This window comes from Homo sapiens, chromosome 2 (genome assembly GCF_000001405.40).
Source record: "Homo sapiens chromosome 2, GRCh38.p14 Primary Assembly".
Taxonomy (NCBI): Eukaryota; Metazoa; Chordata; class Mammalia; order Primates; family Hominidae; genus Homo; species Homo sapiens.
In genome coordinates this window covers 107,633,147-107,655,948 of record NC_000002.12, presented here as the reverse complement: position 1 = coordinate 107,655,948, position 22,802 = coordinate 107,633,147, and the positions used below count along the sequence as shown (strand labels likewise).

Here is a 22,802-nt window from a genome sequence, read left to right as displayed (position 1 = left end):
TGAGATGGAAGTCAGAATCTTTTGTAATTTAATCATGGAAGGTATGTCTCCTCAATGATATGGGATTCTATTATTTAGAAGCAAGGCTCACAAGAGGAAAAAATTATACAACACTTTGAATGTCAGGAGGTGGAATCTTTGGGACCATCTTAGAAGCTGTGGACTACACCATTTTATTTTGCACTTCAAATGGATCAAGGGTAAAATCTGATGATTTAATTAATTGTGTTTATAATCTGGTCATTGCATAAACATATGCTGTAAAAAGACTTTCTTTTCTGTGAAAGCAGGTAAATGTTGTTCTCAGGAATTAAAAGCCGATATTAAGGGCGCCCTTCTTTTATATTTCCCTGCCAACTTAACACAGGTTTTAAAAGCAGCTTGGGGCCTATATCACTTGTGTCGGGGCACTTCAAGAAAATAGCTAGAGAACACAGCAGAAAAACTAATTTTCTTTTTATTTGACAGGGAACTCTTTCTCAGGAAAGTGTTTCACAGTGCCATTACTCTCAAGCTTCCCCTGAAAATCTTTATTCAACTGAGTGAATTTCTTCTCTTTTGCCTCTATGCAGCCAGTTTCCAAATTAGTCTTCTGTGTGATAATTAATGCCTGGTGGCTACATGAAAGCATAACCTGAATGAGGATTTTTCTGAAAATACTGTTTTTGAAGTGGCTGAAAGGAAAATCATAATTAGCCTTCAAAACTATTAGAAGACAGGTAAGAAGAGCAAGAATGGATTAGGCTTCATCAGTGTTATCCTTGCCTAGTTGGGGAAAAAAATCACAACGCTTTATTTCAGCAAACTGGAATGTCATTAATTCTCTAGTTCTGGATGAGCTATTCCTCATTCCATTTTTACTCACCTTACAACTTTTGCTTTAGTAAGAACACAGTTATATTCATTTGCTTACGTCTTTCAGTCCTAGGTATAGAGAAGGTATATTCACATTTTTGTATGAATAAAATAATACATTTATCCTTTCTTGATGGTAAAACCTTCTTCTATTTTATGTGTAATAAAATACTTACAACCTTCCACCTGTAATCCCAGCACTTTGGGAGGCCGAGGCAGGTGGATCACCTGAGTTCATGACCAGCCTGGTCAACATGGCAAAACCCTGTCTCTACTAAAAAAAAAAAAAAAAAAAAAAAAAAGGCTGGGCATGGTGGTCAGTGCCTGTAATCCCAGCTACTTGGGAGGCTGAGGCAGGAGAATTGCTTGAACCTGGGAGGTGGAGGTTGCAATGAGCCGAGATCTCACCATTGCACTCCAGCCTGGGTGACAAGAGCAAAACTCCATCTCAAAAAACAAACAAACAAACAAAAAAAACTTACCACCTTCCTTAAGCTTATCATTTTTCCTAACTACTTTTGTGTCTGCAGTGCCTTGATTTATAAAATCAATATAGCATTAGTCATGTATCATTATTCTGACCACATGTAGGTTGCATTGTCATTTAGTCAAATCTGTTTGACTTATTATTTGTAAAAACTAACCTAACATAGTTTATGTGCATTAACTTGGTGTCATATAATTCATTCATCTATTGAAGGTATGTGATTTTTTAATATCTTTCCTGAATTTCTTGGCTAACTTTCTACAAATATGGGGTACAAACTATTAACTTCAAGTCACAGATCTTATATATACAAAAATGTTACTTTATTTTTCTATTCTGTATTAGTCCATTCTCACATTGCCATAAAGAACTTCCCAAGACCAGGTAATTTATAAAGGCAAGAGGTTTAATTGACTCACATTTTCTTAAGGCTGGGGAGGCATCAGATAGCTTACAATCATGACGGAAGGTGAAGGGGAGGCAGGCACCTTCTTCACAAAGTGGCAGGAGAGAGAATGACTGAACCAGGAACTTGGCCAAGTACATATAAAACCATCAGATCTTGTGAGAACAGACTCACTTCATGAGAACAGCATGGGAAAAACCACTCCCATGATCCAGTTACCTCCACCTGGTCTCCCCCTTGACATGTGAGGATTATGGTGGTTATAATTCAAGATGAAATTTGGGTGGGGATACAAATTTGGGAATACAAAGCCTAACCATAACAATTCCAAAAATAAAGTGCTATCTTTAACCCCTACACTGCAAAATGGCATACAAATTAATATAGTCCTCCACAGATAAACTAATCACTTCAGGATTTGAACTCAAGAAATTCAAGTTTCGCCACCTCATTGTTGGAGAAGGGCATTTCAGGACCTCCGTGATGCTCAGGCTCTGGCTGGAGCACACTGAGGTCTGCTTCTCTCATTTCTTCTTTGAGGTAGGGCCCTCTATCCTCAGTCTCATAAGTGGTTAGTGTCCACAGTTCCACTGTGGTCTCAATTGCCAGCATTGCTCAGCATCTCTCTTGTCCTCTCCTTCAGCCCTTTTGTATCTGTGTGTGTGTGTGTGTGTGTGTGTGTGTGTGTGTGTGTGTATGGGTGGGTGGGGGGTGGGGCGGTCATTAACTCCAAGCTGCTTTTCTAACAGTGCTGGGGTACAAAGACTCTGTGAGCTCTTCTCAGTCCCATCTAGTCATTGTCAGAATGTGTATAGGTACCTTATTGTGGATTTCAGTTACATTTCCTTCATAAGTAAAATATGTTGAACATCTTTTCATGTGGTTATTGGACATCCATACATATGTTAAGAAATGCCTGTTAAAATTTTGCCTTTTAAAAAGTGTCATCTTCTAAATATTTATGCAACCTGGTCTCATTTCTCTTTAGCCTGAAAAACTTTTATATAGAATGATTTGTAATGCAGATATGCTGATGATATTTCATCTTAGTTTTTTGTTTATATAAAATGTATTTATGTTGCCCTGATTTCTGAATAATAGTTTATTAAATATAGATTTAAAAATTTAGTTTTAAGGTTTTCTTTTCATTTTTTTCTAGCACTTTGGATATATCATTTGTATGTCTCTGGGCCTCAACTTTTTCCCAGTGAAAAATCAGCCACTCATATTGAATAAATAAAATGTGGTACAGATACACCATGGAATACTATGCAGCTATAAAAAAGAATAAGGTCATGTTCTTTGCAGGAACATGGATGAAGCTTGAGGCCATTATCCTCAGCAAACTAATGCAGGAACAGAAAACCAAATACCTCATTTTCTCACTTTTGAGTGTGAACTAAATGATGAGAACACATGGACACAAAGAGGGGAACAACAGACACTGGGGCCTACCTGAAGTGGATGCTGGGGGGAAGGAAAGGATCAGGAAAAATAACCATTGGTTTCTAGGCTTAGTACCTGGGCAAAATAATTTGTACAACTACCCCCAATGACATGAGTTTACCTATATAAGAAACCTGCACACTTACCCTGAACCTAAAATACAAGTTAAATAAATAAGTAAATAAATAAATAAAATAAAAATAGAAAATCAGCCACTAATGACATCATTGTTCTCAAATATGTAATTGTAATTTTTTTTAGTTAGTTCTTTTAACATTGTTTCTTTATTTTTAGATTTCAGCAGTTTGACATTGCCTAGAAGTAAATTTCTTTGTGTTATGTGTTAATCTTACATGGTGTCTGTTAAGCTTTTGAATTGTTAGGTCATTTTTTAACAAAATTAGGGGATTTGGGGCCATCATTTCTTTAAAATATTTTTATGTACCCCCTCTCACCTTCAATGTTCTAGGAATCCAGGTGTACTTAGATTGGACCACTTGATATTTTTCCATGTGTTCCTGAGTCTTCTTGCTGTTGGTGGTGGCTTTGTTGTTGTTGTTGTTGGCAGTCTTTTTTTCTTTTTTGCTATTTTTTAGGGAAGGTTACTTTTATTGATTTATCTTCAAGTTTCCTGGTTTTGTATTCTGCCTTGTCTAATCTGTTAGCATTTCTAGTTAATTTTACATAGTTATCCTTTTTGCATGTAGAATTTCCATTTATTTTAATTTCATTTTTCTTCTGTTGAAATTCCTTATATATTAACTCATTAAAATCACTTTTCTTCTAATTATTTGGACATATTTACAATGGTTGATTTGAAAACTTTGGGTAAAAAATTCTTACTAAATTTGCTTTTATTCAGCATCAGTTTCTATTGACTGCCATTTTTTCCCAAGTATAAGTTACATTTTCCTGTTTGTATACATGTCTGGTAGTATTTAGTTGAAAACTGGACATAGTAGATCATACATTTTAGTGACACTAGATTCTTTTGTATTTATCTGAGGATTGTTGCGTCATTGTTCTGGTAACCAATTAACTTGCCTATACTCAGACTTCAAGGTCTGTTTTCCCTGCAAAATATAGCACTATTTTCTACACTTAATTCTTACAGTTTCTAGCTGCTGTCTATTTTATCCTAGTAAACACGGTCTCCTTTGCACTTATTGTGCATGGATTTATGAAGTTACTCAGTTAAGAAAGAAGTAAAATCGAAAATCTGTATTTATTTTATTTATTTGCGACGGAGTCTTGCTCTGTTGCCCAGGCTGCAGTGCAGTGGCAAGATCTTGGCTCATGGCAAGCTCCGCCTCCAGGGTTCACGCCATTCTCCTGCCTCAGGCTCCCAAGTAGCTGGGAATACAGGCGCCTGCCACCACGCCCTGCTAATTTTTTTGTATTTTTAGTAGAGATGGGGTTTCACCATGTTAGCCAGGCTGGTCTCTATCTCCTGACCTTGTGATCCCCACCCACCGCCGCCTCCCAAAGTTCTGGGGTTACAGGCGTGAGCCACTGCGCCTGGCCAAAAATCTGTACTTTAAACACAGATATCTCCATTGTCTCTTCCTGCTTTTCCATTTGGTCTCCTGGGGTTTTTCTATGCTTGCATATTTTTACAGCCAGACGGGGATTTGAGTAGAGCTTATACCCTCATTTTGAACTTCACAACTTCTGTGATCATGTTATTTCTAAGACTTTCTATTAAATTTATAATTTTTTTTCCCCAGGCTGGAACCTATCCTCTGCTACCCCAAGCTCATAATGGTGTGGTTTTTCACAACCATAGTCACAGGGATTGTGGAATACCCTCAGGCAAGACGTATACAACTTTATTATTCTTATTCATTACAGTTGCAGTTTTTCAAGTAACCATTCCTCCACATTTTTTTCCTACTTCTAACATTTTTAGTCAATTGTTCATATTTCAGCAATGTTTTCTCATTGTTGTCTGCAGGAGATTTTCCATGTCTACTCTGGTGCCATTACTGGAAGATCCTTCCATTTTCTACAAGGGATTTTTACCTATATTGTTGAGGTATGTGTATATACACGTGTGTGTGTATGTGGGTTGAGGGCAGTATTTGAGAAGATTAAGTTAAAGTATGTGTCATGGGAATTATCTTTAAAATTTCTTTATAAATAAGTTTATATGAAAAATCTTTGGGATTCTGGGTCTTGATAGTTATAGACAAGTTTTGAAACTCAAAATCCCTACTTTTTCTCAAATAATAGGTTTTCAATATTTTGACTCTGGTCAAAATTTTTAAAAGTTTTTGAAAATTTGTTGATGTAATTACTTTCTATAGTTTCTACTGTATTCATCGTTTTGGCAAATGAATGTCCTCTGAGGCAATAAAGGTTGTCTCTAAAACAAAACGAAGATCACTATTGCAAAACAAAACAAAACAAAAAAGCGAGGAGATAGTTAATATTGCCAAGTTATGTTCTGCCACGGGTAGCATTCATATTATCATACTTATATAACTTAGGCAACTAACAACATTCTGCCATATTCGTGGGCATTAAACTATATTTTTGGAGACACTTACATAATTATTTCTCTTTTATGCTGTCTCGGATGGTGTTTCCAGAAGTGGAATCCCCTTTGGTAGCTCTGTACCTTCAGCTTCTCCCTCTGTGGTATCCATTCCCTGCCACAACTATAGAATCTGCAATCTGGTAAGCCACCACTTTTCTATGTCCCTTCAGCCAGAGGTAGATAGGAGCTTCTTGCTCCTAATAATTCGTAATATTCCTTGCAGTCTATTCTTTAGTGTGTCAGCTATCCCATCACCGTTTTAACCAGTTTATTTTTTTTGTCAAATTTTATTTTATTCAGGAGTACATGTGCAGGTTTGTTACACAGGCAAACTTGTGTTATGGGAGTTTGTTGTACAGTTTATTTCATCACCCAGGTATTAAGCCTAGTACTCATTGGTTATTTTTCCTAATTCTCTCCCTCCTCCCAGCTTCCATCCTCCAATAGGCCCCAGTGTGTGTTGTTCCCCTGTATGTGTCCATGTGTTCGAATCATTCAGCTCCCACTTATAAGTGAGAACATATGGTGTTTGATTTTCTGTTTCTGCTTTAGTTTGCTAAAGATAATGGCTTCCAGCTCCATCCATGTTCCTTCAAAGGACATGATCTCGTTCTTTTTAAGGGCTGCTTTGTGGGCTTATCTAACTTCCATCTTTGAGGTTGCTGACCTTTGGATTTTTTTTTTCTTTTATCCTCTTTTATGACCTTGAGGGTTTGATTGTGGTATGTGGTGGATTCAGCCAACTGGCTTCCTTTCTGGGAGATTTTAGAGGGCCGATGCTCAGCTTCCAATCCTGGACTGTGTGCTCTAGCTCTGGGGTACCTGTATTGGGTTCTGACTTTGTTCTCTGACTCCTTGAAATTTGGAGTCCACTGCGTTGGGGTTTGGCAGGGAATGGGGGGCGCGAGGTGTGGCAGCTGCCCCAGAGTGCTAGCAGATGCAGGGGTGCCTGTCTCCCTGCGGGTATTCACCACAGTGGTGGAGGTAAGGCAGCTTCGGAGGAAGTGGGGGACCTCTGCTGGAGACTGTGTGCAGTGTTGCACTGGAGATAGTGTTGGCTTGGGGTGGGGTGCTGGCTGGGGCTGATCTGCGTGTCTTCTCTATGCTCCACAAACAGGAGTCATGGCTCAGGGTGTGGGAGGATCCCCTGTGCTCTGCTTAACGTTAGTGCAAAGACAGAGCACGGGTGAGGGCAGGGCTCGCTGGCTCTGTGCCCCCCAGGGATCCTTCTGCAATGGTGGGGATGTGGGTGCGGTTGGGGTTTGGGGGGTATATTGCACTCCTGCATGCCAGCTGAGCAAGTAAAGCAAAACCCACCCATGCAGACATGAGCCAGCAAAGTGATGTGGGGGCCTTCCATGGGCTCGAGGGGAGGAAGTGTGTGGGCTGATGTGAGGCCACAGAGACTGCTTTGCAAGAGCTCTCCACCAGACCAGTGCAGAAGCTATGGTGTGGGTCCCCAGGGTACCTGAGACTGCTCTGTAAGCAGGCCTGGCCAAGCTGGGACCCAGGAGAGGACAGCAGACCAAGGAGCGCTCAGAATGGATCAGCCTGTCTGACGTGCAAGACCACCTTGCAGAGATCAGGTCAAACAGTTCCCCTAGAGCTAAAGTCTCTTATGATATAGCAAGAGGAACCTAGAGGGATGCCCATCCCTGACCATGCTCCACTACAGGCGCTCCCACACCAAACCTTCTGGGCTCCACATCAGCTGGTTTGCTGTCCCACCACTTCTCTAAGCAGCTATCCCTGCCAACTCAAGTGCCCCTGGTGGTTGAGGGGTCCCTTCCTTCCAGGATTCCAGAGGCCCAAGGCAAGTGCAGGTTGCTTCTTGCCAGTTCAACTTACCCATTGCCCTAAAGCTCTTGTGGTTCAGAAATGAGTCCTGGTGTGCTGGTAGCCTGTGCTGGGTTCCCAGATTTTTCCCACTTCAGCCCTCTTCTGTGTCTTCTCTCCATCCACTCTTGGCACCTTCCCTCTGAAGGTCTTTTAAAAGTATACCAGGCCGGGCATGGTGGCTCAGGCCTGTAATCCCAACACTGGGAGGCTGACGTGGGTGGATCGCCTGAGGTCAGGAGTTCAAGGCCAGCCTAGCCAACATGGTAAAACCCCGTCTCTACTAAAAATACAAAAATTAGCTGGGTGTGGTGGCAGGCGCCTGTAATCCCAGTTACTTGGGAGGCTGAGGCAGGAGAATCGCTGGAACCCGGGAGGTGGAGGTTGCAGTGAGCCGAGATCATGCCATTGCACTCTGGCCTGGGTGACAAAAATGAAACTCCATCTCAAAATAAATAAACAAATGCACACCAGTCATCTCAGTCCCTCAGTGGGAACCGTTCCACTTGTCTGCCTCCAGTCGGCCATCTTACCCTCGATTCCTAACCAATTTCTTATTTCAATTTTCTCTAAACACAGTGGTTTATGTTTTCCTGACAGAACACTGAAAGGCATTGCCCATAAACAGTTGAACTGCTCCATTGGAATGAGCAGAAAGGTGTGGAATATAAATAAACAAAATAATTAACATGGGAGTAATTTAACATACAACTGATTATTTAGTAAGAAATAAAATAATTTAGTAATAAATTGAACAAAAGAATTGCTATGGGAGAATATAACACATAACTGATTCCAAGAGATGATGGCCTTTCAATGAACTACAGAAAGCAGCACAAGGAGCAGCGAGCAAGCCAACCAAGTTTTCTATTCTGTCTGGCTTGTCTACATTTTTATAGACAGTGTTCACAATCTTCCTCTCTTTTGACTCTCCTCAATTATGATAGGTTCATGGTATTTTTTCAAAATAAATGTGACTAAACTTTGTTAATTGAAAAGTACATTATTTTAATTTGCAATTGGTTTCCATTATTGTGGTATTCCTGTGTTCTGAATGTGGAATTGTATAGACAGGTTTACCTACTGCTTAATCCATAATATAGCAATCCTGTTGACAAATTGCCATCTTTCACTCTTCAGTAGTGCTTCCATGAGCTTTCTGCAACCTGCTAATACTTTGTTGTTCAAGTTAATATTGAGCACTTTTGGTGACCATCCACAATAGTTAGGGATGGGTAGAGTGGCTCCGCTATGGGAATCCATTACAATTCCCATTGTGGAGCCACTTTACACATCCCTAACTATTGTGTTGGATAACAAAGGCAAAGAGTTACACTCTTCTTCGAGTAACTGTCTTAATTTATGAATTTTCCTGTCCCAAGATATCTGAGAGTGACCAAAAGAAGAGAATAAATGTCCAGCCTCCTTGTCACAAGGCAGGACAACATTATGTTGTTCCTTAGGCTCCAGAGCTCCCATGAATCTTGCTGAGGGTAAGCACAACCTAATCCCACATCCATGCTTAGTTTCTCCCTTGTTTTATCCTACTTTCTTCACTTATTTTATAGGTTATTCCTAAAAAGCATTCTTCCAGTAAATCATTGTGTAACAACCCCAATTTCAAGCTCTGATTCTAGGGAACTCTCTCTAAGTCAGGGTGAAATGCTGTCATGTGTATAGCCAGGCATTACTGCTTATATCACACATGACACAAACAGATTTCTTTCATAAGATGTTGGAACACTTGCCCTGATTATAATACTTTATAAAACATGTCCTTATCTATTTAAAAAAAACTAGAAATATATAGATGGGATATGAAATCTGTGTATCTGTCTTCAGGAAATTTCAATTTCCAGATAGAGATAACAATACTTCCATTACAAATTTTTATGACAATGGAATGGGATACTACTAGCGATGTTAAGTAGGAAACTGCTCAGTACACAGTAGGTTTTAAATGAATGTTTAAAAATATATATTATAACATTAGAGACAGTTTTCCAGTATATCATACTACTTTTCAATTTGAAAGAAGTGTAGATATAGTAGAGTCTATAAAAAAAAACCCTTTTTTATATACTAAGAATGATTAGGGGAAAAAAGGTCATTGTTTTGAAGGTAAAAGAATATCTCCAAATTATTTTGAGCATGATTAAAACTCTATAGAAAACTGAACTTAGAATAAACAATCTCAGAGCCATATTACCCATATGGTATAATGAAATGTCCCAGCAATCTTTCCCCTACAAAAAGACAGATTTAGCAACAATATTAGCAACAAAATATTTATGAGATGTGCAGACTCCTGTTAAAAAGTTATAATACCCCAGATGACTATAAAATTGAGATGATAAACTGCACTGATAAAGGCAAGAAGAGCAGTTTCACTTTGCTTGCATCAATTCTTTCCCCAAGTTTTGACAGCCCATCCCCAAGAGAAATTGCAACTTCTGTAGGGTACAGGGGAAGAGGAAGTGGGGCAAATGTCCAATGTCTATGGCCTTTCACTGTACTATATGAGGGGCTGGCTTCTGCCCTGACTCATACAGAGAACTGAAAAAACCAGCAGAGTTTGAATGCCTGGCATAGCTGCAGCCAGTATGGGTCTGTAAGATAGGACAAAGATGCATAACTGAGGCTTCTTTCCCAGCAGGGAGGTGATAGGCAGAGTATGCTCCCAGTATCTCAGGAGTTTCAGTGCATTGTCAAAGGGCTGGTTTTTATCTTACCTGACATGGAGTGCTGATGGAACAAACATAGCTAGACACTAAAGACAGCATAACATTACAGACTCTTGTGCGGATGGGGAACAGGGAACTGAATGCCTGGGGTGGCTAGGAATAAAGGCCCAGCATCTGTAGCCATGTTGACAGATGAAGGTTTTTCCCAGTCAAAATTAGTTCTTAAAGACTAGAAAGGAGGCTATTTCTGCAAAGGCTCAATTACCAAAACAAGGCTATAAGGAACAAGAATGAGAAAATCAAAATACAATAAAAAGTACAAAATATATTTTCATTAAATGACCCAAAAGAAATGAAGAACATGAATTACCTGACAAATAATTTTTTAAAAGTCTTAAAGAAACTCAGTGAATTATAAGAGAACACAGAAAGACAAGTAAATAAAATCAAGAAAATAATACATGAATAAAACAACTAATACTAACAAAGAAATAGAAATAATAAAGAAGAACCAAACAGGAATTTTCGAGCTGAAGGATATAACTAAACTAAAACATTACTGGAGGAATTTAACTTCAAACTTGATTAAGCAGAAAAAAGAATCAGTGAACTTGAAGACAGATTATTTGAAAATATCATCAGAGGAGGAAAAAGAAAAAAAAAGATAGACTGAAGAAAGTTTAAGAGAATTGTGAGACACCATCAATTATAAAAAATAAGAGATGCCTTAGGGGGAAAAAGGGAAAGTGAAAGAAAGCTTATATGAAGAAATAATGGTTAAAAACTTCCCAAATCTGGAAAAAAAAATAGTCATTCATTTCCATAAAACTTAAAAGACCTCAAAAAGAAAGAAATCTAGGAAGTTTACACCATAACACATTAAAATCAAATTGTCAAAAACCAGAGAGTTTTAAAAACAAGACAAAAGTGACTTACTATGTACAAAGGAGTCTCCATAAGACTATGAGTGGATTTCTCAGCACTCAACAATATGTATATTTACAAAAGAAGGAAGTGAAATGATACACTCAAAGTGCTAAAAGAAAAAAAAATAGCAACCATAAATTCTATACCTGAAAATGTTGTCCTTCATAAATAAAAGAAAGATAAAGACTTACCCAGGCAAACAAAAGCTGAGGGAGTTCACCACCACTAGACCTGCTACTATGATCTAAGCTACATAGTTTAGACATAGTTTATGTCTAAACTACAAAACAGAAAATAATTGACAAAATGGAAATAGTAAGTCATTACCTATAAATAATTACTTTAAATGTACATGGAGTAGATTTCCCAAACAAAAACACTTAGACTAGCAGAATAACTTTAAAAACCAAAGAGAATAGGAGTGACTATATTTATATTAGAAAAAATGGACTTTAAGTAAAAAACTTTCACAAGAGAGAAAGAAGGTCATTAATTATGTAATGATGAAGATACAATTCAGCAGGAAAATATGAAAACTATGAATACATATATTCCCAACATCAGAGCACCTACATATGTAAACCAAACATTGGCAGGTCTGAAGGGAGAAATAGCTAGCAATATGATAGCAGTAATAGATTTCACCAAAGGACAGAAAATCCTGACAAAAAATTAATAAGGAAACATCAGACTTGAACAAAACTGTCGATCAAAGGGACCCAACAGAGATATAGAGAACATTCCACCCAACGGCACTGGAATAAAACTTCTTCACAAGTGTACATGAAACATTCTTCAGGATAGATCACAGGTTAGGTCACAAAACAAGTCTTAACAATTTGAAAAAGATTGATATTATATCAAATATCTTTTCTTACCAAATGAATGAAACTAGAAATTAAGAACAGATGGAAAACAGGAAAAGTTACAACATATGCAAATTTAAAAACACTACTAAATACCCAGTGAGTCAAGTAAAAAAATAAAAAAGGAAATTAGGAAATCATTCAAGACAACCAGAAACAAAAACACAGCATACCAAAACTTATGCCATGCAGCAAAAACATTGGTAAGCAGAAAGTTTATAGCAATAAACACCTCTATTAAAAAAGGAAGATTTTAAATGAACAACCTGATTTTATACTTCAAGTAACTAGAAAAAGAAGAATAAACTAAGGCCAAAGTAGAAAGAAGAAAATAATAGTAATTGGAGCAAAAATAAACAAAATACAATATAGAAAAAAGACAAAATAAATCAACAAAATTAAGAATTGGTTTTCTGAAACAGTCAACAAAATTGATACACTCTTAGCTAGACTAAAAATAAGAGAGTAGACTGGCTATTATATAAATGTTTCTCTGAGGGTTCATGTGTTGGAAACTTAATCACCAATGCAACAGTATTGAGAAGTGTATTAGTCCATTTTCACACTTCTAATAAAGACATACTCAAGAATGGACGATTTACAAAAGAAAGAGGGGTTTAATGGACTTACAATTCCATGTGGCTGCGGGGCCTCACAATCATGGCGGAAGGCAAGGAGGAGCAAGTCACTTACTACATGGATGGCAGCAGGCAAAGAGAGAGCTTGTGCAGGGAAACTCCTCTTTATAAAACCTTCAGATCTTGTGAGACTTATTCACTATCAAGAGAAAAGCACCAGAAAGACCCACCCCCACAATTCAGTTAGCTCCCACTGGGTCCCTCCCATGACATGTTGGACTTGTGAGAGTTACAATTGAAGATGAGAGTTGGATGGGGACACAACCAAACCGTGTCAAGAGGTAAGATCTTGAAGAGGTGATTAGGCCATGAGGGCCTTACCCTCATGAATGAATTAGTGCTGTTACCATGGGAGTGGGTTAGTTATTGCAGGAGTGGTACCCTTACACAGGATGAGTTTGACTCCATCCCTCTTGCTCTCTTGTGTGCTCTCTTACCTTTCTGTTTTCCACAACAATACAATGCAGCAAGAAGGCCCTCACCAGGTTCAAGCCCTTCAACCTTGGATTTCTCAGCTACAGAACTGTACGAAATACATTCATTTTCTTTATAAATTATCCAGTCTCTGGTATGCTATTATAGCAACACAAAACAGACTAAGATAAAACTCAAATAAATAAAATCATAAATGACAAAGACATTACAACTGGTGCCATGAAATAAAAGGGATTACAAGAGACTATTATGAATTATCATATACCAACAAATTGGATAACCTAGAAGAAATTTTTAAATTCATAAAAATATACAACCTATCAAGACTGAATCTTGAAGCAATAGAAACCTGAATCAACCAATAAGAAATAAGTAGTTTGAATCAGTAATAAAAAAACCTCCCAGTGAAGAAAAGCCCTGGCCCAAATGGCTTCACTGATGAATTCTAACAAACATTTAAAGAAAACTTAGGACCAATTCTTTCTGAATACTTCAAAAATGGAGAAGAGGAAATACTTCTGAGCTCATTTTATGAGGCCAGAATTACCCTAAAACCAAGCCAGACAAAGACACTACAAGAAAAGAATACTACAGGGAAATAAACCTGATAAACATAGATGCAAAAATCTTCAACAAAATACTAGCAAACTGAATCCAACAGCATATTAAAAGGATCATACACCATGAGCAGGTGGGATTTATTTTTAGGATGCAAGTTTCAACATGCAAAAATCAATTAATGTGATACACCACACTAATAAACTGAAGGATAAATATTACATTATTATCTCAATAAATGCAGGAAAAGCATTTGATATAATTCAACACCCTTTTATAATTTAATATGGAAGAAAAAAAACACAGCAAAACAGAAAAACCTTTCAGCAAACTAGATACATAAAGAATATACCTCAACACCATAATGGCCATCTATGAAAAGACATAGCTAATATCATGCTCTATAGTTTAAAAAACAGAGAGAAAGAGCTTTTGCTCTAAGAATTAGAACAAAGAAGCCCATTCTTGCCACTTTTATTTAATATAGTATTGAAGTCCTAGCCAGAGGAATTAGGCATTTTAAAAAGGCATGCAAATTAGAATGGAAGAAGTAAAATTACCTTTGTTTACAGATGACACAATCTTATATGTAGAAAATCCCAAAGACTATGTGTAAAATAAATCTAAAAATGAATACAGTGAAATTACATGATAAAATATTAACCATAAAAAGGAGTTGCATTTCTACACTCTAACGAAACTATCCAAAGAGTAATTTAAAAAACAATACCATCTGTAATAGCATCAAAAATAATAAAATACTGGGAATAAACTCAACAAAGGAAGTAAAAGACTCATTTATTAAAAACTACAAATTGTCAAATAAAGAAATTAAGACACAAATAAGTGAAAATATTTTATGCTCATAGATTGGAATACATGCTGGTGTTAAAATGTCCATCCTACTTAAAGATATCTACAAACCATAAGTGAGGCATATCAACAACTCAATGGTAGGTTGTTTTTTTTTTTAAGAAATAGAAAAAAATGTTAAAATGTATATGGAACCACAAAAGCCTCTAAATAGCCAATGAAATTTTGAAAAAGAACAAAGCTGGAGACATCATAGTTATTGTTTTCAAAGATATTGCAAAGCTATAGTAATTAAAACAGTATGGCTGGGTGCAGTGGCTCATGCCTATAATCCTAGCACTTTGGGAGGCTGAGGTGGGAGGATAACCTTAGGTCGGGAGTTCGAGACCAGTCTGACCAACATGGAGAAATCCTGTCTCTACTAAAAATACAAAACCCAGGCATGGTGGCACATGCCTGTACTCCCAGCTACTCAAGAGGCTGAGGCAGAAAAATCACTCGAACCCAGGAGGCAGAGGTTGTAGTGAGCCAAGATCGTGCCATTGCACTCCAGCCTGGGTAACAAGAGTGAAACTCCATCTCAAAAAACAAACAAAAACAAACAAAAAAAAAATATGAGACTAACATTAAAACAGACTTACAAACCATGGAACAGAGTAGGGATCCCAAAAATAAACTCAAACATAGATGGTTAAGGTATTTGACAAGGGTGCCAAGAATACACAATGAGAAAATGACAGTCTCTTCAACAAGTATGGTTGAGAAATTAAATTTCCACATGCAAGAGAATGAAATTGCAACTTTATTTTACACCACAGAGAAAAGTCAACTTAAAATGGGTTGAAGATTTTAACATAAGACCTGAAACTGTAGAACTCCTAGAAGAAACGTATGGGAAAAGTCTCATGGCATTGGGCTTGCTAATAATTTCTTAGATATGACACCAAAAGCACAATGAACAAAAGCAATATTACATAAATGGGACTACAGCAAACTAAAAGGCTTCTGCACAGCAAAGAAAACAATCAACAGAGTGAAGAGACAATGAACAGAATAGGAGAAAATATTGGCAAACCAGATATCTGATAAAAGGTTAATATTCAACATATGTAAGGAACTCATACCACTAAAAGACAAACAAAACCAAACAATCCAACTAAAAATGGGCAAAGAATCTAATTAGACATTTTCTTCTTCCAAAGAAGACATACAAATGCCCAGCAAGTATATGAAAAAAAATGTTCAACATTGCTAATTGTCACAGAAATACAAATCAAAATCACAATGAAATATCACCTCCACCTCTTGGAAAGACTATTTTTAAGGAGAAAGAGAGAGAGAGAGACAGAGAGTTGAGAGAGGAAATATAACAAGTGTTAGTGAAAGTGGGAAAAAAAGAGAACATTTGTATACTGTTGATGGAAATATAAATTGGTGCAGCCATTATGGAAAATGGTATGAACTTTCCTCAAAAAATTTAAAAATAGAACTACCATATGACCCAACAAGCCCACTTTTATGTATATTTCCAAAATAATTGAAATCAGGATCTTGAAGTTATCTGCACTCCTATGCTCATTGCAGGACTATTCACAATAGCCAAGATTTGGAAACAACCTAATTGTCCATTAATAGATGAATGCATAAAGAAAGTGTGGCATGTACATACAATGAAATATTATTCAGACTTAAAAAAGGGGGAAATCCTGACATTTGCAACAACATGAGCGAATCTGGAAGATATTATGCTAAGTGAAATAAACACAAGAGCAAATACTACATAATTCCACTTACTTGAGGTATCTAAAATAGTCAAACTCAGAAACAGAGTAGATTGATGGTTTTCAGGGGCTGAAGAAAAAGGTAATGGAGAGTGGCTGGCCAACAGGTATAACATTTCAACTATGCAAGATGATTTCTAGAAATATGCTGTACAACGTTGTTCCTATAGTTAACCTTGGAAAAAATTAAGACTTTGTTTTCTCATACAGGAAAAAATGACATAACCACTAAAAAGTAAGTAAAGTTATTTTAACAAGCAATATTTTATCAAGAAACTTGAAGCTTAGTCTAAAGACAAACATAACTAGCTAATAAAGATAATATTCTGCCAACACATATGATTAAGCTAAAAACAAGCTTAGAATAACGTTTGTGGTGATTTGCATTATTGTAATTAGAATACATGTTGTTGCTTCTCTTTCGGTAGCTGCTTAAATTTCTATGTTGAATAGTTGTAATCCTGTTAAATTATATTGTTGCATATATCTCATTAAATAGTTTTTAATTAGTTTTCATTTGGAAAAAGAATATTATGATGCTCAATGATAGAAACTGTCAAAATAATATTAATGAAGCATACACTTCATTTGTACTCATATGGGATATTAAAATTATCTGTTAATTTGTAGATAGTGATTTTTCCCCAATTTTACTTTTTACTTATTTTGTACAAAGTTGTACCTACATTGGTAGTAATTATGACAGATCAATTGTAAATTTATTTTGCGTATTTATTACATTTTTTAAAATGGATATTTCTTTCAATTGTAGTGTTTTTTCAGAGTTACAAAAATATGTCAGCAACTCTACCATATTCTACAAATTTTCTATTAGCTGGGAAGTGTTTATATCATGTACATTATAAAAAATAATAACCTAATAATCTTTTTAACTTAGGAATGACTGCTAAAGATCAGGACAAGACTTTGACCAGTGGAAGTCAGGAACAGCAAATAAACATTTTCCTCATCTCTTCCCACCATACTAACTGTCCTGAGATGCAAAAGTCCATAAGGTCTCTCCTAAGACTGTCCCACAAAATGTAGCAATTAGTTATTCTTGCTGTCAAGCAGTGCTCAGCTCATATTATACCTTATATTTTCTCTTCCTCATTCTCTGTATCACTCATCTTTTCTGTCATTTCTAGTTCCCTGTATTTTATTCCACAATATATTAGTAGCAAATAAACTTTTGTGCTTTCTGAGAAAACGGGCTAATTGAGTTGGTACCAGGATTTGATTTAGAAAGCAGAGCCTCAAGATGGGATTTGGGGATTTGGTTATTTATCATTCTGTTGCAAGTGGGAGCCCATTGCTAAAGATAAGTGGCTTAGTGATAATACCCAGCATCACAGTCATAGAAATTTGTACCTGTGAGAAAGTATACACCAGGAGATATATGTGGAAAATTAAATATTGGGATATAAAGTAACTGGAATATAAAGTGTTGAGGTATATTGGATTGGTAATGCTCAGAAGGTATGGTGACAGTGATAATATTAATAACTGTAGAATAGGCTGGCTTTCATTGACAACTTTGAAGTTTTGGGAAAAAAATATGGATTCAAGACAGCTGACTGCGAAACTAGGTCATGCTGTGAAAGCTAGTGATTCTATATGGCAGGGTTTAAGAAAGGATTAATCTCCCACAATAAGGAGCAAACCAGACTGAAAAGCAGACCCAAATTCTCATTATGAGATAGGTTCAACTCCTTATTACCTTCTTTTGTTGCACCAATTCCTTTCTCTTAAATCAGACCTTAACATTGAGAGGAGTTCCCTCAAACCCGGTGATGGTGTAGCAAAGTATTCAGCCCTAATTCACAGAGGGTGGCTTCATCATATGTTATTGCTACCCTAATATAGACTGCTGTTAAATCACAATTCTACTAAGTGGTAGTTATAAAGTAGAACGGTGAAGCAAAATCTTCTAAGTGTGTCTTACCTTTGTGTGAAAAGAGATACGGTCTAAAGCACGGATATCCATTATCCGCTTACAGTGGCAAATAGTTTGGCTAGTGGATAAGAAGCCTAGAGGAAAGAAGACTGAAAGGTCAGGAAGAAGCAAGTCTGGAGAAGAGACACATGGGTGAGCCTATTAAAAGGACACAAAGGGCCCGGCGTGGTGGCTCACGCCTGTAATCTCAGCACTTTGAGAGGCCAAGGTAGATGGATCACGAGGTCAGGAGTTTGAGACCAGCCTGACCAACATGGTGAAACCCTGCCTCTACTGAAAATACAAAAATTAGCCAGCCATGGTGACGTGTGCCTGTACTCCCAGCTACTCAGGCGGCTGAGGCAGGAGAATCGCTTGAAGCCAGGAGGCGGAGGTTGCAGTGAGCCGAGATCGCGACATTGCACTCCAGCCTGGGTGAGCAAGACTCCGTCTCAAAAAACAAAACAAAACAAACAAACAAAAAAGAAAGGACACAAAGCCTGAAGCTTTTTATGTCTCAAATTAATGCTCACCAGATGGGCAATCACCACAGGAGATGGTGTCAATAACAGGGGTCTATCCAGTGTCCACTGAATGGGTTTATAAATTTAGTTGTCTTAGTGCAAGGGATAGAGACTATTTATGGGCCCGAAAGCTCCTTTCAATCAACATTATTCTAGCTTTTGCCCCTGATAAATGTCTAATCTGCCAGATTGTCTCTACAGTCTTAGCCCTGTATATGAAGCTATCCCATGAGAAGACAAATCAGTCCTTTTGATGGCAGATCGTGACATCACATATCTATCCCTACCACATTGGATGGGATAGACGTTTGTTCTCCCTAGAGTTAACACACATTATGTATATATATACCTATCCTATTTGCAGTTATTCAACCAGCACAACAATCTGAGGTATTAAAAAATACCTAATATATTGACCGCATTTGCTGCACATTACCTGAGAAGAAGATTTATTAAACAGCATGTGAAAAAATGGTTGTATAACTAAATAATCCATTAAACTCAGCATATATCCAGAAGCAACTGGCCTTATAGCATGATAGAAAGTCAACTAAATCTTCAATGTAGGAACAACATGGTCGGGGAGAGGGGCATTGTGCTCCAGGCTGAGGTCCATGTAACAAACCAAAGGCCAGTATGTAATACAAATTTAGAATACATATGTGGAGGGTGAAGGGGTGTAAGTGGGAATGACCCATCTCACAGCAGTTACTCTCAGTGAATCTTTTTCAGAATTTATGTTTTCTGTATACTAAAACTTTAGATATAGGCAACTTCTGACCCATATATAGAACTTGTATCTGAGGGTTCTCTGGAGAAGCAATAGCATCTGTGTGTGTACGTGTGTGTGTGTGTGTGTGTGTGTGTGTGTGTGTGTGTGTATGATTTATCCTAAAAAATTTGCTTTTGTGATTATAGAGGCTAAGAAGTTCCATGATCTGCTCTCTGCAAGCTGGATACCTGCCTGGCCTGGTAGGCCATAAAGCCAATGATATAAATTCCAGTTCAAGCCTGAAGGCATGACAACAAGGAGCACTGAAGGCAGGAGGAGATTGATGTGCTGACTCAAACAGCCAGGAAGAACATGAATTCAACCTTCCTCTGCCTTTTGGTTCCAGTCCAGCTCTCAGTGGTTTGAGTAATGCTCACCCAGGTTGGGGAGGGCCATCTGTTTTACTAGGTCGACTAATTTAAATTTTAATCTCATCCAGAAACAACCTCACAGGCACACCCAGAAATGACGTTTATCCAGCACTCTGGGTATCCAGTGGCCCAGTCAAGTTGACACATAAAAATAACCATCACAGATTGGAAGTTGCCACACCGCCATCTTTACCAAAAGAAAAAAAAAAGCCCCCAGAATCTAACTTTTCCTGAACACTTTAGTGTACTGCAAAATTAGACAGATTAGTAAATCAAGAGCATTCAGATCCACCTACCTGTAATGAAGCCACTAAAGCCATAAACTAGCAGAAAGTTTTAAATGGTAATTTTGGTGAATTGCTGGAGGCTGAGAGTGGACCAGTTTGAGATTAAACACTCCTATGGGCGACAGTCTGAGGAGGTGCCTAGGAACCTTGTGGATTTTATTTCCAGTAACCTCATCAGATTCTTATGGTGAGGAGCTAAGAACTTTCCCCCTCCCTCTGTGACTCTGGCAGAGGGAGGGGTATAGTAACTCTTGTAAAATATACTGAGAAAATTTTTCATAACAAAAGACTATAAGGGAAAAGAATTTACTGGAGCCTTATCTCACATGGGGAAGGACATTATTCCCAATTTAGTACCATCTAGGCTTTAGTCTTCTTGTCTTATTCAGTGGGAGAAAGAAAAAGGAGAAATGCTATCTTAGTAGAGAAATAATTGTGAAGATCATGGCCTAGGGAAACAGACCCAGTAAATGTTTGAGATTTAATTGTAACTGTAAAGAAGGCCTCCCTTCCCTTACACCCTGTCACAACACCAGCGTGGCTCCAGCATAAAAACAATAGACTATAGGTAAAAGAGCAGCAAGACAAAGAATTTTTCTGAGGAGGAGAACTTAAAATAGCCCAGAGTCTAGAAGATAGACACAAACAAAGACACTAAAGGAATTTGAAGCCTCTTGCACCTAAGCTACTTTAAACAATAATTATACTCCAAGTCCTAGCAATAGCAAGAGTAACATAAAAACCTCTCATTGAAGTCTTCTTAGCTAACAAAAAAAAAAACAAAAATACAAAAAAAACCATGACTGACTGACATGGTTTGGCTCTGTGCCCCCACCCAAATCTCATCGGGAGTTTTAATGCCCATGTGTCGAGGGAGGAACTTGGTGGGAGGTGATTGGATCATGGGGGCAGTTTCCTCCATGCTGTTCTCATAATGGTGAGGAAGTTCTCACCAGATCTGCTGCTTTAAAAGTCGTTTAAAAAGAAAGTGGGAGCTCTCTCTCTCTCCTGCTGCCTTGCAAGACGTACCTTGCTTCCCCTTCACCTTCCACCATGACTGTAAGTTTCCTGAGGCCTTCTAAGCCATGCAGAATGGTGAGTCAATTAAACCTCTGTCCTTTATGAATTACCTAGTCAGGTAGTATCTTTATAACAGCGTGAAAATGGATTAATACATTGGCTTTCAACAAAAAATTAGAAGGCATGCTAAAAGGCAAGAAATACATAGCCTGAAGAGACAAAGGAAGCATCAGAACCAGACAGAGGTGTGATATCAATGTTGAAATTATCAGATGAAAAATTTAAAATAACTGAAACTGCCTTCGCCAAAAATATAACAGTGAGAAATTTACCATAACTGGCTCCATCTTGCTTCTAACCTCACAAGCTGCCTTTGCTCATTCCTGAACATAGGCCAAGTGAACTATTGGAGTAATATAGTTTACAGTTTAGCTTCAAAGCAAAGATAATTATAATCCCTTACCAAAACTTACTCCCTCCAGAGGTTGAAACTGCTTTTGTAGACCAATAAAATATCATCAGGATAAGATTAAGGGAGAGGCATGAATTCTGCTAAAATATAGGCATAGTTAAGTTATAACCTGCCATTGTTTTCTATCTTGCTTTTCTATAATCTCTTACTCCTCAGGAGTCAGGTAGCTGGAGTATACAAGATTTGTAACTCCCCGAATTGCTCCCATAAATAACATCAATATTGTAAAACCTAAGATTGATCTTTGGGATATTTTTCAGACTTTTGCATTCTGACGACTGACTGACTCCAGACTTATGACTCATACCAAGGAACTTACTCAACTGGCCCTGTGACTCCCATCCAGAAAATGACTCAGCAGAATGTTTTTGACACTTCTATTATTTCACCCCCCAGTGAAACAGCAGCACTCATTCCCTAGCTTCCTTCCAGACAAATTATCCTTAAAAAACCCAACCTCTGAGTTCCTGGTGAGGTGAATTTGAGAAATATCTCCCGTCATTCTGCTTGACTCCCTTGCAGTATACTCTTTCTTTACTGCAACACTACTGTCTCAGTGTATTGGCTTTATCTGTGCAGCAGGCATGTAGAACTTGTTGGGCTGTAACATAGCTATGAAAAATATATAAAAGGCTCTAATTGAAAAAGGAGACAACCTGCAAGAACAGAAGAGTAATTTAAGCAAAGCAATGGAAACCCAAAGTAAGAATCAAAAAGAAATGCTGAAAAAAAATACTGTTATGAAAATGAAAAATGTTTTTGATGTATTTATTAGTAGACTAGATATAACAAAGGTAAAAAAATTACAAAAATCAAAGACAGGTGAATAGAAAGTTTCCAAACTGAAATTCAATAATAATACTAATAATAATCATAATTTAAAGAATAAACCATACAGAGCATTTATTAGTAGACTAGATATAGCAAAGGAAAAAAAATTACGAAAATCAAAGACAGGTGAATAGAAAGTTTCCAAACTGAAATTCAATAATAATAATAATAATAATAACAACAATAATTTAAAGAATAAACCATACAGAGCATCCAAGAATTCTGAGACAAATTCCAAATTGTAACATGCATAATTGCAATGCTAGAAAGAATGGAGTAGAAAAAATATTTGAAGTAATGGTTTCTAAAAACTTTTCA

At 37.3% G+C, this 22,802-nt stretch overlaps 1 long non-coding RNA gene across 1 annotated transcript, besides 1 other annotated feature; it reads left to right on the top strand.

The window, feature by feature from the left end:
- Positions 1 to 5,145: 5,145 nt before the first annotated feature.
- LOC105373539 (uncharacterized) lies at positions 5,146 to 17,481 on the top strand. Its single transcript, XR_001739634.2, has 5 exons — positions 5,146 to 5,229; positions 5,786 to 5,873; positions 8,952 to 9,062; positions 16,482 to 16,506; positions 17,170 to 17,481. It is a non-coding gene; the product is annotated as an uncharacterized LOC105373539 (long non-coding RNA).
- Positions 21,151 to 22,350: an enhancer, noted in NCBI's record as "MED14-independent group 3 enhancer chr2:108250055-108251254 (GRCh37/hg19 assembly coordinates)". NCBI's record gives its function as "activates an origin of replication core promoter dependent on BRD2, BRD4, P300/CBP and CDK7 cofactors, and independent of MED14, by STARR-seq in HCT116 cells {active_cell/tissue: HCT116}" and the evidence as "EXISTENCE:reporter gene assay evidence [ECO:0000049][PMID:35650434]".